The sequence below is a fragment of the Homo sapiens genome, chromosome 4 (genome assembly GCF_000001405.40).
Source record: "Homo sapiens chromosome 4, GRCh38.p14 Primary Assembly".
Lineage (NCBI taxonomy): Eukaryota > Metazoa > Chordata > Mammalia > Primates > Hominidae > Homo > Homo sapiens.
Window position 1 is genome coordinate 131738948 of NC_000004.12, and position 14958 is coordinate 131753905.

General features: G+C 63.6%; 2 long non-coding RNA genes across 2 annotated transcripts; both read left to right on the forward strand.

Moving 5' to 3' along the window:
• The first annotated feature begins 5944 nt into the window (after nt 1–5944).
• LOC124900860 (uncharacterized) lies at nt 5945–7272 on the forward strand. Its single transcript, XR_007058478.1, has 2 exons — nt 5945–6299; nt 6678–7272. It is a non-coding gene; the product is annotated as an uncharacterized LOC124900860 (long non-coding RNA).
• A 2518-nt stretch (nt 7273–9790) lies between these two features.
• LOC124900859 (uncharacterized) lies at nt 9791–12236 on the forward strand. The gene is made up of 2 exons (XR_007058476.1): nt 9791–11256; nt 11641–12236. It is a non-coding gene; the product is annotated as an uncharacterized LOC124900859 (long non-coding RNA).
• Nucleotides 12237–14958: the final 2722 nt, after the last annotated feature.

Genomic DNA, 14958 nt, shown 5'->3' on the forward strand with positions numbered 1-14958 from the left:
GTTCCCCACATTGGCCTTCCAGGAAAGGCGGTGTTGCAGCCCACCTGCACTTCCTGTCTGATCCTTGAGGGCCAACCGGTTCCTCCGCTCCTGGGGAAAGCGCCTTCTGGCACTGAATCTTTTGGCTGCCACGGATGTCAGGGAGCCAACGGGACTGGGTTTTGCCTGGGTGCAGCGGAGGTTGCGTCAGGGGTACCTAAGCGGTAGCGGCGTGGGGGTGGGGTGTACTTGGTCCAAAGCTCTCGGCTCCTCTGGCGGGCCTCCCTGAATGTGGCCTGGACTCGCGCACAGGCCCTGTCTCGCAGGTTTGCAGGTGCGCTTGGCTTTTCCTCCGCTTTGTGGGGCAGGTCTCCAGTGGCCCCCGGGCGCACGCCTGGACATCACTGTCCGTCCCGTCGTCGCCCCCTACGGCCTCAAAGACACACGCTCACTGCATGTGCTCTTGGGGGACGTCAGTGCCACGTTTGGTCACACGGGCTCCAGCTCGGACTCGCCTCTGTCTGCCTTTGCCGGTGTCGCCGGAAGCTGCGTCGGGATGCCGGAACGCCCGGTCCTTGAAGATGAAGGCAGGCCCCTGCTCCACCCAGGAAGGAGGGAGGCAGTGGACTCATGGGTCCGTGCCGTTGCAGACGACAGCACGCCTTGCGGCCCTGGGGATCTTTCCTTGCCCCGGCGAGACCCTTTCCGCCTCACTGCATTGTAACCCCATTCCCGATCAGCCGGTGGGAGCCATCATCGGATCCCAAGAGGAGTCCGCGCAGCCCAGCCAGCACCCCGAAGGTCCTCCTTCACCGGGAACAGAAGCAGGAGACCGATCAAGGAGGTCCTGACGACAGGACTCCTATGGGTCCGACCCTGGGTCTCCCGCAGGCCCCTCTGGTAGACCTCTTCCCACCCGCCGCCTCGGGCTGCGCCGCAGCCGCCGCCGCCGCAACCTCCAGCACCGCCGCCCCAGTCCCCGCAGCCGCCGCGTCGCCGCCATTTTTTAAAGGGTCCGCAGCCTGACTCTGCTGAGTAAGGAGGGGTGGGGCGGGTGAGTCGGCCTCGCCAGTGCGCATGCGCGAGGCCCCAGCCGCCGCTTTGGTCACAGTGACCGCCACCGTTGCCCGGGGATGGGTCCCTGAGACTTGGCGAAGTAGGAGCCCTGTGTGATTGTGCGTCAGAGTCGGGGCTCAGACCAGTCCTGGCCAGGGCAGTTACCAGGACGGTCTCCGGAGGCTGGGATTCGCGGAGGGTCCGCCAGGAGGAAGAAACCTCAGACAGATCGCCGGGGACGCAGCGCGGGATCCCAGCCTCAGGCGTGCACGGACGGTGTGCAGGTGAGTCTCCCCAAAAGTAGCGCCCTTGTGATGTGGAGGACAGGTCTGCCAGGGTGTCCGTGGGCTGCTGTCTCACCGGTGGCCTCGTAGTCGCGGAGAGCAGAACCCGGCAGCTTCAGGGGCAGCCTGGGGGTGGGTGTTACCTGCTGTATGTCTGTGTGCGTCTTGGTTGTGTGTGTGTGTGTGTGTGTGTGTGTGTGTGTGTGTGTGTGTGTGTCTGTGTGCGTGCGTGCGTGGCGTCCGTGTGCCCACTTCTGTCTATCTCTTACGTCTCTCTCTCTCTCTCCCCGCCCTCGCTCTTTCCGTCGCCCTCTCTTTCTATCTCTGTCCGTCTGTGTGTGCTTGTGCCTCGGGACACATGTGCCCCGTGTGCCGGAGGGTGGGTTTCTTGCAGGTCGGCCTTTCTTCTGGTCAGCCTCTCCCCGCGTCTCTGCCTCGGTCGTGTAGCCGGTTAGCAGTCGGTTTCCCGGCGGTTCCGGTTTGGCGGTCTGTGAGGGCCTGGGCAATGCCGGCATCTCCTTCGGAACCGCAGGGGTTTTCGTCCCCTCCCCATCCGGAGCAGCCTCTTTGCTAGGCTAGATCCAGACGACCGCTCCCCAAGCAAGGACAACGGCCTCCCAGGCGCTCATTGTCCACCCGCAGGAGGGTGCCCGCAGACCTTCAAGAGGATGGTTCTCACGCCTCTCGCCCTCTCCCTCATGGAGAAATGGAGCCACAGCTCGACGCAGGGACGGAGAAGGAAGCCGGCAAGGGGATGGGGCAAGCATCTCTGTCACTCAAAGGCTGGCCTTCCTGGCCGAGTCACCCGTCTGACACTCCTCCCCGGATGCCCGTGGTGGTGGCATGGCCCCGTATCCTTCCTGGGCTCTGGCCTCTGCTCTGTCCTCCCTTTTGCTGTGTCTGCCCCGTCTCTGAGAAGCATGGCGGCTTCTTAGTCTGGCTCAACGTCTTCAACAAAGAAGACTTCCCAGTCCAGGGAGAAACCCCGTGGGCGTCCGTGTCATGATCGTTTCCCTCTCGACACCTCTTTCTGCATGATTGGGCAGGTGTGGTGATCCTGGAGCTCTGGGCTTCCATACCTGTGTGGGACAGGGAAGCTCTCTTGGTCTCCATGGCCCAAGTGATGGCTGCGCGCTCAGTCCAGGAAGAGGGGGAGGCAAGCCCACCGTTCCCCACATTGGCCTTCCAGGAAAGGCGGTGTTGCATCCCACCTGCACTTCCTGTCTGATCCTTGAGGGCCAACCGGTCCCTCCGCTCCTGGGGAAAGCGCCTTCTGGCACTGAATCTTTTGGCTGCCACGGATGTCAGGGAGCCAACGGGACTGGGTTTTGGCTGGGTGCAGGGGAGGTTGCGTCAGGGGTACCTAAGCGGTAGCGGCGTGGGGGTGGGGTGTACTTGGTCCAAAGCTCTGGGCTCCTCTGGCGGGCCTCCCTGAATGTGGCCTGGACTCGCGCACAGGCCCTGTCTCGCAGGTTTGCAGGTGCGCTTGGCTTTTCCTCCGCTTTGTGGGGCAGGTCTCCAGTGGCCCCCGGGCGCACGCCTGGACATCACTGTCCATCTCGTCGTCGCCCCCTACGGCCTCAAAGACACACGCTCACTGCATGTGCTCTTGGGGGACGTCAGTGCCACGTTTGGTCACACGGGCTCCAGCTCGGACTCGCCTCTGTCTGTCTTTGCCGGTGTCGCCGGAAGCTGCGTTGGGATGCCTGAGCCACCGGGCCTTGGAGATGAAGGCAGGCCCCTGCTCCACCCAGGAAGGAGGGAGGCAGTGGGCTCATGGGTCAGTGCCGTTGCAGACGACAGCACGCCTTGCGGCCCTGGGGATCTTTCCGTGCCCCGGCGAGACCCTTTCCGCCTCACTGCATAGTGACCTCATTCCCGATCAGCCGGTGGGAGCCATCATCGGATCCCAAGAGGTGTCCGCGCAGCCCAGCCAGCACCCCGAAGGTCCTCCTTCACCGGGAACAGAAGCAGGAGACCGATCAAGGAGGTCCTGATGACAGGACTCCTATGGGTCCGACCCTGGGTCTCCCGCAGGCCCCTCTGGTAGTCCTCTTCCCACCCGCCGCCTCGGGCTGCGCCGCAACCGCCGCCGCAACCTCCAGCACCGCCGCCTCAGTCCCCGCAGCCGCCGCGTCGCCGCCATTTTTTAAAGGGTCCGCAGCCTGACTCTGCTGAGTAAGGAGGGGTGGGGCGGGTGAGTCGGCCTCGCCAGTGCGCATGCGCGAGGCCCCAGCCGCTGCTTTGGTCACAGTGACCGCCACCGTTGCCCGGGGATGGGTCCCTGAGACTTGGCGAAGTAGGAGCCCTGTGTGATCGTGCGTCAGAGTCGGGGCTCAGACCAGTCGTGGCCAGGGCAGTTACCAGGACGGTCTCCGGAGGCCGGGATTCGCGGAGGGTCAACCTGGAGGAAGAAACGCCAGAAGGAAGAAACTTCAGACAGATCGCCGGGGACGCAGCACGGGATCCCAGCCTCAGGCCTGCGGGGACGGTGTGCGGGTGAGTCTCCCCAATAGTGGCGCCCTTGTGATTTGGAGGACAGGTCTACCAGGGTGTCCGTGGGCTGCTGTCTCACCGGTGGCTTCGTAGTCTCGGAGAGCAGAACCCGGCAGCTTCAGGGGCAGCCTGGGGGTGGGTGTTACCTGCTGTATGTCTGTGTGCGTCTTGGTTGTGTGTGTTTGTGTGTGTGTGTGTGTGTGTGTGTGTGTGTGTGTCTGTGTGCGTGCGTGCGCGCGTCTGTGTGCCCACTTCTATCTCTTACGTCTCTCTCTCTCTCTCCCCGCCCCCGCTCTTTCCGTCGCCCTCTCTTTCTATCTCTGTCCGTCTGTGTGTGCTTGTGCCTCGGGACACATGTGCCCCGTGCGCCGGAGGGTGGGTTTCTTGCAGGTCGGCCTTTCTTCTGGTCAGCCCTCCCCGCGTCACTGCCTGGGTCGTGTGGCCGGATGGCAGTCGGTTTCCCGGCGGTTCCGGTTTGGGGGTCTGTGAAGGCCTGCGCAACGCAGGCATCTGCGTCGGAACCGCAGGGGTTTTCGTCCCCTCCCCATCCGGAGCAGCCTCTTTGCTAGGCTAGATCCAGACGACCGCTCCACAAGCAAGGACAACGGCCTCCCAGGCGCTCATTGTTCAACCGCAGGAGGGTGCCCGCAGACCTTCAAGAAGATGGTTCTCACGCCTCTCGCCCTCTCCCTCATGGAGAAATGGAGCCACAGCTCGACGCAGGGACGGAGAAGGAAGCCGGCAAGGGGATGGGGCAAGCATCTCTGTCACTCAAAAGCTGGCCTTCCTGGCCGAGTCACCCGTCTGACACTCCTCCCCGGATGCCCGTGGTGGTGGCATGGCCCCGTATCCTGCCTGGACTCTGGCCTCTGCTCTGTCCTCCCTCTTGCTGTGTCTGCCCCGTCTCTGCGAAGCCTGGCGGCTTCTTAGTCTGGCTCAACGTCTTCAACAAAGAAGACTTCCCAGTCCATCAGGGAGAAACCCCGTGGGCGTCCGTGTCGTGATCGTTTCCCTCTCCACACCTCTTTCTGGATGATTGGGCAGGTGTGGTGATCCTGGAGCTCTGGGCTTCCATACCTGTGTGGGACAGGGAAGCTCTCTTGGTCTCCATGGCCCAAGTGATGGCTGCGCGCTCGGTCCAGGAAGAGGGGGAGGCAAGCCCACCGTTCCCCACATTGGCCTTCCAGGAAAGGCGGTGTTGCAGCCCACCTGCACTTCCTGTCTGATCCTTGAGGGCCAACCGGTTCCTCCGCTCCTGGGGAAAGCGCCTTCTGGCACTGAATCTTTTGGCTGCCACGGATGTCAGGGAGCCAACGGGACTGGGTTTTTGCTGGGTGCAGCGGAGGTTGCGTCAGGGGTACCTAAGCGGTAGCGGCGTGGGGGTGGGGTGTACTTGGTCCAAACCTCTGGGCTCCTCTGGCGGGCCTCCCTGAATGTGGCCTGGACTCGCGCACAGGCCCTGTCTCGCAGGTTTGCAGGTGCGCTTGGCTTTTCCTCCGCTTTGTGGGGCAGGTCTCCAGTGGCCCCCGGGCGCACGCCTGGACATCACTGTCCGTCTCGTCGTCGCCCCCTACGGCCTCAAAGACACACGCTCACTGCATGTGCTCTTGGGGGACGTCAGTGCCACGTTTGGTCACACGGGCTCCAGCTCGGACTCGCCTCTGTCTGCCTTTGCCGGTGTCGCCGGAAGCTGCGTCGGGATGCCGGAGCGCCCGGGCCTTGAAGATGAAGGCAGGCCCCTGCTCCACCCAGGAAGGAGGGAGGCAGTGGACTCATGGGTCCGTGCCGTTGCAGACGACAGCACGCCTTGCGGCCCTGGGGATCTTTCCTTGCCCCGGCGAGACCCTTTCCGCCTCACTGCATTGTAACCCCATTCCCGATCAGCCGGTGGGAGCCATCATCGGATCCCAAGAGGAGTCCGCGCAGCCCAGCCAGCACCCCGAAGGTCCTCCTTCACCGGGAACAGAAGCAGGAGACCGATCAAGGAGGTCCTGACGACAGGACTCCTATGGGTCCGACCCTGGGTCTCCCGCAGGCCCCTCTGGTAGACCTCTTCCCACCCGCCGCCTCGGGCTGCGCCGCAGCCGCCGCCGCCGCAACCTCCAGCACCGCCTCCCCAGTCCCCGCAGCCGCCGCGTCGCCGCCATTTTTTAAAGGGTCCGCAGCCTGACTCTGCTGAGTAAGGAGGGGTGGGGCGGGTGAGTCGGCCTCGCCAGTGCGCATGCGCGAGGCCCCAGCCGCCGCTTTGGTCACAGTGACCGCCACCGTTGCCCGGGGATGGGTCCCTGAGACTTGGCGAAGTAGGAGCCCTGTGTGATTGTGCGTCAGAGTCGGGGCTCAGACCAGTCCTGGCCAGGGCAGTTACCAGGACGGTCTCCGGAGGCTGGGATTCGCGGAGGGTCCGCCAGGAGGAAGAAACCTCAGACAGATCGCCGGGGACGCAGCACGGGATCCCAGCCTCAGGCGTGCACGGACGGTGTGCGGGTGAGTCTCCCCAAAAGTAGCGCCCTTTTGATGTGGAGGACAGGTCTGCCAGGGTGTCCGTGGGCTGCTGTCTCACCGGTGGCTTCGTAGTCGCGGAGAGCAGAACCCGGCAGCTTCAGGGGCAGCCTGGGGGTGGGTGTTACCTGCTGTATGTCTGTGTGCGTCTTGGTTGTGTGTGTGTGTGTGTGTGTGTGTGTGTGTCTGTGTGCGTGCGTGCGTGGCGTCCGTGTGCCCACTTCTGTCTATCTCTTACGTCTCTCTCTCTCTCTCCCCGCCCCCGCTCTTTCCGTCGCCCTCTCTTTCTATCTCTGTCCGTCTGTGTGTGCTTGTGCCTCGGGACACATGTGCCCCGTGTGCCGGAGGGTGGGTTTCTTGCAGGTCGGCCTTTCTTCTGGTCAGCCTCTCCCCGCGTCTCTGCCTCGGTCGTGTAGCCGGTTAGCAGTCGGTTTCCCGGCGGTTCCGGTTTGGGGGTCTGGGAGGGCCTGGGCAATGCCGGCATCTGCTTCGGAACCGCAGGGGTTTTCGTCCCCTCCCCATCCGGAGCAGCCTCTTTGCTAGGCTAGATCCAGACGACCGCTCCCCAAGCAAGGACAACGGCCTCCCAGGCGCTCATTGTCCACCCGCAGGAGGGTGCCCGCAGACCTTCAAGAAGATGGTTCTCACGCCTCTCGCCCTCTCCCTCATGGAGAAATGGAGCCACAGCTCGACGCAGGGACGGAGAAGGAAGCCGGCAAGGGGATGGGGCAAGCATCTCTGTCACTCAAAGGCTGGCCTTCCTGGCCGAGTCACCCGTCTGACACTCCTCCCCGGATGCCCGTTGTGGTGGCATGGCCCCGTATCCTGCCTGGGCTCTGGCCTCTGCTCTGTCCTCCCTCTTGCTGTGTCTGCCCCGTCTCTGAGAAGCCTGGCGGCTTCTTAGTCTGGCTCAACGTCTTCAACAAAGAAGACTTCCCAGTCCATCAGGGAGAAACCCCGTGGGCGTCCGTGTCGTGATCGTTTCCCTCTCGACACCTCTTTCTGGATGATTGGGCAGGTGTGGTGATCCTGGAGCTCTGGGCTTCCATACCTGTGTGGGACAGGGAAGCTCTCTTGGTCTCCATGGCCCAAGTGATGGCTGCGCGCTCGGTCCAGGAAGAGGGGGAGGCAAGCCCACCGTTCCCCACATTGGCCTTCCAGGAAAGGCGGTATTGCAGCCCACCTGCACTTCCTGTCTGATACTTGAGGGCCAACCGGTTCCTCCGCTCCTGGGGAAAGCGCCTTCTGGCACTGAATCTTTTGGCTGCCACGGATGTCAGGGAGCCAACGGGACTGGGTTTTGGCTGGGTGCAGCGGAGGTTGCGTCAGGGGTACCTAAGCGGTAGCGGCGTGGGGGTGGGGTGTACTTGGTCCAAAGCTCTGGGCTCCTCTGGCGGGCCTCCCTGAATGTGGCCTGGACTCGCGCACAGGCCCTGTCTCGCAGGTTTGCAGGTGCGCTTGGCTTTTCCTCCGCTTTGTGGGGCAGGTCTCCAGTGGCCCCCGGGCGCACGCCTGGACATCACTGTCCGTCTCGTCGTCGCCCCCTATGGCCTCAAAGACACACGCTCACTGCATGTGCTCTTGGGGGACGTCAGTGCCACGTTTGGTCACACGGGCTCCAGCTCGGACTCGCCTCTGTCTGCCTTTGCCGGTGTCGCCAGAAGCTGCGTCGGGATGCCGGAGCGCCCGGGCCTTGAAGATGAAGGCAGGCCCCTGCTCCACCCAGGAAGGAGGGAGGCAGTGGACTCATGGGTCCGTGCCGTTGCAGACGACAGCACGCCTTGCGGCCCTGGGGATCTTTCCTTGCCCCGGCGAGACCCTTTCCGCCTCACTGCATTGTAACCCCATTCCCGATCAGCCGGTGGGAGCCATCATCGGATCCCAAGAGGAGTCCGCGCAGCCCAGCCAGCACCCCGAAGGTCCTCCTTCACCGGGAACAGAATCAGGAGACCGATCAAGGAGGTCCTGACGACAGGACTCCTATGGGTCCGACCCTGGGTCTCCCGCAGGCCCCTCTGGTAGACCTCTTCCCACCCGCCGCCTCGGGCTGCGCCGCAGCCGCCGCCGCCGCAACCTCCAGCACCGCCGCCCCAGTCCCCGCAGCCGCCGCGTCACCGCCATTTTTTAAAGGGTCCGCAGCCTGACTCTGCTGAGTAAGGAGGGGTGGGGCGGGTGAGTCGGCCTCGCCAGTGCGCATGCGCGAGGCCCCAGCCGCCGCTTTGGTCACAGTGACCGCCACCGTTGCCCGGGGATGGGTCCCTGAGACTTGGCGAAGTAGGAGCCCTGTGTGATTGTGCGTCAGAGTTGGGGCTGAGACCAGTCCTGGCCAGGGCAGTTACCAGGACGGTCTCCGGAGGCTGGGATTCGCGGAGGGTCCGCCAGGAGGAAGAAACCTCAGACAGATCGCCGGGGACGCAGCGCGGGATCCCAGCCTCAGGCGTGCACGGACGGTGTGCGGGTGAGTCTCCCCAAAAGTAGCGCCCTTGTGATGTGGAGGACAGGTCTGCCAGGGTGTCCGTGGGCTGCTGTCTCACCGGTGGCCTCGTAGTCGCGGAGAGCAGAACCCGGCAGCTTCAGGGGCAGCCTGGGGGTGGGTGTTACCTGCTGTATGTCTGTGTGCGTCTTGGTTGTGTGTGTGTGTGTGTGTGTGTGTGTGTCTGTGTGCGTGCGTGCGTGGCGTCCGTGTGCCCACTTCTGTCTATCTCTTACGTCTCTCTCTCTCTCTCCCCGCCCTCGCTCTTTCCGTCGCCCTCTCTTTCTATCTCTGTCCGTCTGTGTGTGCTTGTGCCTCGGGACACATGTGCCCCGTGTGCCGGAGGGTGGGTTTCTTGCAGGTCGGCCTTTCTTCTGGTCAGCCTCTCCCCGCGTCTCTGCCTCGGTCGTGTAGCCGGTTAGCAGTCGGTTTCCCGGCGGTTCCGGTTTGGGGGTCTGTGAGGGCCTGGGCAATGCCGGCATCTGCTTCGGAACCGCAGGGGTTTTCGTCCCCTCCCCATCCGGAGCAGCCTCTTTGCTAGGCTAGATCCAGAGGACCGCTCCCCAAGCAAGGACAACGGCCTCCCAGGCGCTCATTGTCCACCCGCAGGAGGGTGCCCGCTGACCTTCAAGAGGATGGTTCTCACGCCTCTCGCCCTCTCCCTCATGGAGAAATGGAGCCACAGCTCGACGCAGGGACGGAGAAGGAAGCCGGCAAGGGGATGGGGCAAGCATCTCTGTCACTCAAAGGCTGGCCTTCCTGGCCGAGTCACCCGTCTGACACTCCTCCCCGGATGCCCGTGGTGGTGGCATGGCCCCATATCCTGCCTGGGCTCTGGCCTCTGCTCTGTCCTCCCTTTTCCTGTGTCTCCCCCGTCTCTGAGAAGCATGGAGGCTTCTTAGTCTGGCTCAACGTCTTCAACAAAGAAGACTTCCCAGTCCAGGGACAAACCCCGTGGGCGTCCGTGTCATGATCGTTTCCCTCTCGACACCTCTTTCTGCATGATTGGGCAGGTGTGGTGATCCTGGAGCTCTGGGCTTCCATACCTGTGTGGGACAGGGAAGCTCTCTTGGTCTCCATGGCCCAAGTGATGGCTGCGCGCTCAGTCCAGGAAGAGGGGGAGGCAAGCCCACCGTTCCCCACATTGGCCTTCCAGGAAAGGCGGTGTTGCATCCCACCTGCACTTCCTGTCTGATCCTTGAGGGCCAACCGGTCCCTCCGCTCCTGGGGAAAGCGCCTTCTAGCACTGAATCTTTTGGCTGCCACGGATGTCAGGGAGCCAACGGGACTGGGTTTTGGCTGGGTGCAGGGGAGGTTGCGTCAGGGGTACCTAAGCGGTAGCGGCGTGGGGGTGGGGTGTACTTGGTCCAAAGCTCTGGGCTCCTCTGGCGGGCCTCCCTGAATGTGGCCTGGACTCGCGCACTGGCCCTGTCTCGCAGGTTTGCAGGTGCGCTTGGCTTTTCCTCCGCTTTGTGGGGCAGGTCTCCAGTGGCCCCCGGGCGCACGCCTGGACATCACTGTCCATCTCGTCGTCGCCCCCTACGGCCTCAAAGACACACGCTCACTGCATGTGCTCTTGGGGGACGTCAGTGCCACGTTTGGTCACACGGGCTCCAGCTCGGACTCGCCTCTGTCTGTCTTTGCCGGTGTCGCCGGAAGCTGCGTTGGGATGCCGGAGCCCCCGGGCCTTGGAGATGAAGGCAGGTCCCTGCTCCCCCCAGGAAGGACGGAGGCAGTGGGCTCATGGGTCAGTGCGGTTGCAGACGACAGCACGCCTTGCGGCCCTGGGGATCTTTCCGTGCCCCGGCGAGACCCTTTCCGCCTCACTGCATAGTGACCTCATTCCCGATCAGCCGGTGGGAGCCATCATCGGATCCCAAGAGGTGTCCGCGCAGCCCAGCCAGCACCCCGAAGGTCCTCCTTCACCGGGAACAGAAGCAGGAGACCGATCAAGGAGGTCCTGACGACAGGACTCCTATGGGTCCGACCCTGGGTCTCCCGCAGGCCCCTCTGGTAGTCCTCTTCCCACCCGCCGCCTCGGGCTGCGCCGCAGCCGCCGCCGCCGCAACCTCCAGCACCGCCGCCCCAGTCCCCGCAGCCGCCGCGTCGCCGCCATTTTTTAAAGGGTCCGCAGCCTGACTCTGCTGAGTAAGGAGGGGTGGGGCGGGTGAGTCGGCCTCGCCAGTGCGCATGCGCGAGGCCCCAGCCGCCGCTTTGGTCACAGTGACCGCCACCGTTGCTCGGGGATGGGTCCCTGAGACTTGGCGAAGTAGGAGCCCTGTGTGATCGTGCGTCAGAGTCGGGGCTCAGACCAGTCGTGGCCAGGGCAGTTACCAGGACGGTCTCCGGAGGCCGGGATTCGCGGAGGGTCAACCAGGAGGAAGAAACGCCAGAAGGAAGAAACCTGAGACAGATCGCCGGGGACGCAGCACGGGATCCCAGCCTGAGGCGTGCGGGGACGGTGTGCGGGTGAGTCTCCCCAATAGTGGCGCCCTTGTGATGTGGAGGACAGGTCTACCAGGGTGTCCGTGGGCTGCTGTCTCACCGGTGGCTTCGTAGTCTCGGAGAGCAGAACCCGGCAGCTTCAGGGGCAGCCTGGGGGTGGGTGTTACCTGCTGTATGTCTGTGTGCGTCTTGGTTGTGTGTGTTTGTGTGTGTGTGTGTGTGTGTGTGTGTGTGTCTGTGTGCGTGCGTGCGCGCGTCTGTGTGCCCACTTCTATCTCTTACGTCTCTCTCTCTCTCTCCCCCCCCCCCGCTCTTTCCGTCGCCCTCTCTTTGTATCTCTGTCCGTCTGTGTGTGCTTGTGCCTCGGGACACATGTGCCCCGTGCGCCGGAGGGTGGGTTTCTTGCAGGTCGGCCTTTCTTCTGGTCAGCCTCTCCCCGCGTCACTGCCTGGGTCGTGTGGCCGGATGGCAGTCGGTTTCCCGGCGGTTCCGGTTTGGGGGTCTGTGAAGGCCTGCGCAACGCGGGCATCTGCGTCGGAACCGCAGGGGTTTTCGTCCCCTCCCCATCCGGAGCAGCCTCTTTGCTAGGCTAGATCCAGACGACCGCTCCACAAGCAAGGACAACGGCCTCCCAGGCGCTCATTGTTCAACCGCAGGAGGGTGCCCGCAGACCTTCAAGAAGATGGTTCTCACGCCTCTCGCCCTCTCCCTCATGGAGAAATGGAGCCACAGCTCGACGCAGGGACGGAGAAGGAAGCCGGCAAGGGGATGGGGCAAGCATCTCTGTCACTCAAAAGCTGGCCTTCCTGACCGAGTCACCCGTCTGACACTCCTCCCCGGATGCCCGTGGTGGTGGCATGGCCCCGTATCCTGCCTGGACTCTGGCCTCTGCTCTGTCCTCCCTCTTGCTGTGTCTGCCCCGTCTCTGCGAAGCCTGGCGGCTTCTTAGTCTGGCTCAACGTCTTCAACAAAGAAGACTTCCCAGTCCATCAGGGAGAAACCCCGTGGGCGTCCGTGTCGTGATCGTTTCCCTCTCCACACCTCTTTCTGGATGATTGGGCAGGTGTGGTGATCCTGGAGCTCTGGGCTTCCATACCTGTGTGGGACAGGGAAGCTCTCTTGGTCTCCATGGCCCAAGTGATGGCTGCGCGCTCGGTCCAGGAAGAGGGGGAGGCAAGCCCACCGTTCCCCACATTGGCCTTCCAGGAAAGGCGGTGTTGCATCCCACCTGCACTTCCTGTCTGATCCTTGAGGGCCAACCGGTTCCTCCGCTCCTGGGGAAAGCGCCTTCTGGCACTGAATCTTTTGGCTGCCACGGATGTCAGGGAGCCAACGGGACTGGGTTTTGGCTGGGTGCAGGGGAGGTTGCGTCAGGGGTACCTAAGCGGTAGCGGCGTGGGGGTGGGGTGTACTTGGTCCAAAGCTCTGGGCTCCTCTGGCGGGCCTCCCTGAATGTGGCCTGGACTCGCGCACAGGCCCTGTCTCGCAGGTTTGCAGGTGCGCTTGGCTTTTCCTCCGCTTTGTGGGGCAGGTCTCCAGTGGCCCCCGGGCACACGCCTGGACATCACTGTCCGTCTCGTCGTCGCCCCCTACGGCCTCAAAGACACACGCTCTCTGCATGTGCTCTTGGGGGACGTCAGTGCCACGTTTGGTCACACGGGCTCCAGCTCGGACTCGCCTCTGTCTGCCTTTGCCGGTGTCGCCGGAAGCTGCGTCGGGATGCCGGAGCGCCCGGGCCTTGAAGATGAAGGCAGGCCCCTGCTCCACCCAGGAAGGAGGGAGGCAGTGGACTCATGGGTCCGTGCCGTTGCAGACGACAGCACGCCTTGCGGCCCTGGGGATCTTTCCTTGCCCCGGCGAGACCCTTTCCGCCTCACTGCATTGTAACCCCATTCCCGATCAGCCGGTGGGAGCCATCATCGGATCCCAAGAGGAGTCCGCGCAGCCCAGCCAGCACCCCGAAGGTCCTCCTTCACCGGGAACAGAAGCAGGAGACCGATCAAGGAGGTCCTGACGACAGGACTCCTATGGGTCCGACCCTGGGTCTCCCGCAGGCCCCTCTGGTAGACCTCTTCCCACCCGCCGCCTTGGGCTGCGACGCAGCCGCCGCCGCCGCAACCTCCAGCACCGCCGCCCCAGTCCCCGCAGCCGCCGCGTCGCCGCCATTTTTTAAAGGGTCCGCAGCCTGACTCTGCTGAGTAAGGAGGGGTGGGGTGGGTGAGTCGGCCTCGCCAGTGCGCATGCGCGAGGCCCCAGCCGCCGCTTTGGTCACAGTGACCGCCACCGTTGCCCGGGGATGGGTCCCTGAGAATTGGCGAAGTAGGAGCCCTTTGTGATTGTGCGTCAGAGTCGGGGCTGAGACCAGTCCTGGCCAGGGCAGTTACCAGGACGGTCTCCGGAGGCCGGGATTCGCGGAGGGTCCGCCAGGAGGAAGAAACCTCAGACAGATCGCCGGGGACGCAGCGCGGGATCCCAGCCTCAGGCGTGCACGGACGGTGTGCGGGTGAGTCTCCCCAAAAGTAGCGCCCTTGTGATGTGGAGGACAGGTCTGCCAGGGTGTCCGTGGGCTGCTGTCTCACCGGTGGCCTCGTAGTCGCGGAGAGCAGAACCCGGCAGCTTCAGGGGCAGCCTGGGGGTGGGTGTTACCTGCTGTATGTCTGTGTGCGTCTTGGTTGTGTGTGTGTGTGTGTGTGTGTGTGTGTGTGTCTGTGTGCGTGCGTGCGTGGCGTCCGTGTGCCCACTTCTGTCTATCTCTTACGTCTCTCTCTCTCTCTCCCCGCCCTCGCTCTTTCCGTCGCCCTCTCTTTCTATCTCTGTCCGTCTGTGTGTGCTTGTGCCTCGGGACACATGTGCCCCGTGTGCCGGAGGGTGGGTTTCTTGCAGGTCGGCCTTTCTTCTGGTCAGCCTCTCCCCGCGTCTCTGCCTCGGTCGTGTAGCCGGTTAGCAGTCGGTTTCCCGGCGGTTCCGGTTTGGGGGTCTGTGAGGGCCTGGGCAATGCCGGCATCTGCTTCGGAACCGCAGGGGTTTTCGTCCCCTCCCCATCCGGAGCAGCCTCTTTGCTAGGCTAGATCCAGACGACCGCTCCCCAAGCAAGGACAACGGCCTCCCAGGCGCTCATTGTCCACCCGCAGGAGGGTGCCCGCAGACCTTCAAGAGGATGGTTCTCACGCCTCTCGCCCTCTCCCTCATGGAGAAATGGAGCCACAGCTCGACGCAGGGACGGAGAAGGAAGCCGGCAAGGGGATGGGGCAAGCATCTCTGTCACTCAAAGGCTGGCCTTCCTGGCCGAGTCACCCGTCTGACACTCCTCCCCGGATGCCCGTGGTGGTGGCATGGCCCCGTATCCTGCCTGGGCTCTGGCCTCTGCTCTGTCCTCCCTTTTGCTGTGTCTGCCCCGTCTCTGAGAAGCATGGCGGCTTCTTAGTCTGGCTCAACGTCTTCAACAAAGAAGACTTCCCAGTCCAGGGACAAACCCCGTGGGCGTCCGTGTCATGATCGTTTCCCTCTCGACACCTCTTTCTGCATGATTGGGCAGGTGTGGTGATCCTGGAGCTCTGGGCTTCCATACCTGTGTGGGACAGGGAAGCTCTCTTGGTCTCCATGGCCCAAGTGATGGCTGCGCGCTCAGTCCAGGAAGAGGGGGAGGCAAGCCCACCGTTCCCCACATTGGCCTTCCAGGAAAGGCGGTGTTGCATCCCACCTGCACTTCCTGTCTGATCCTTGAGG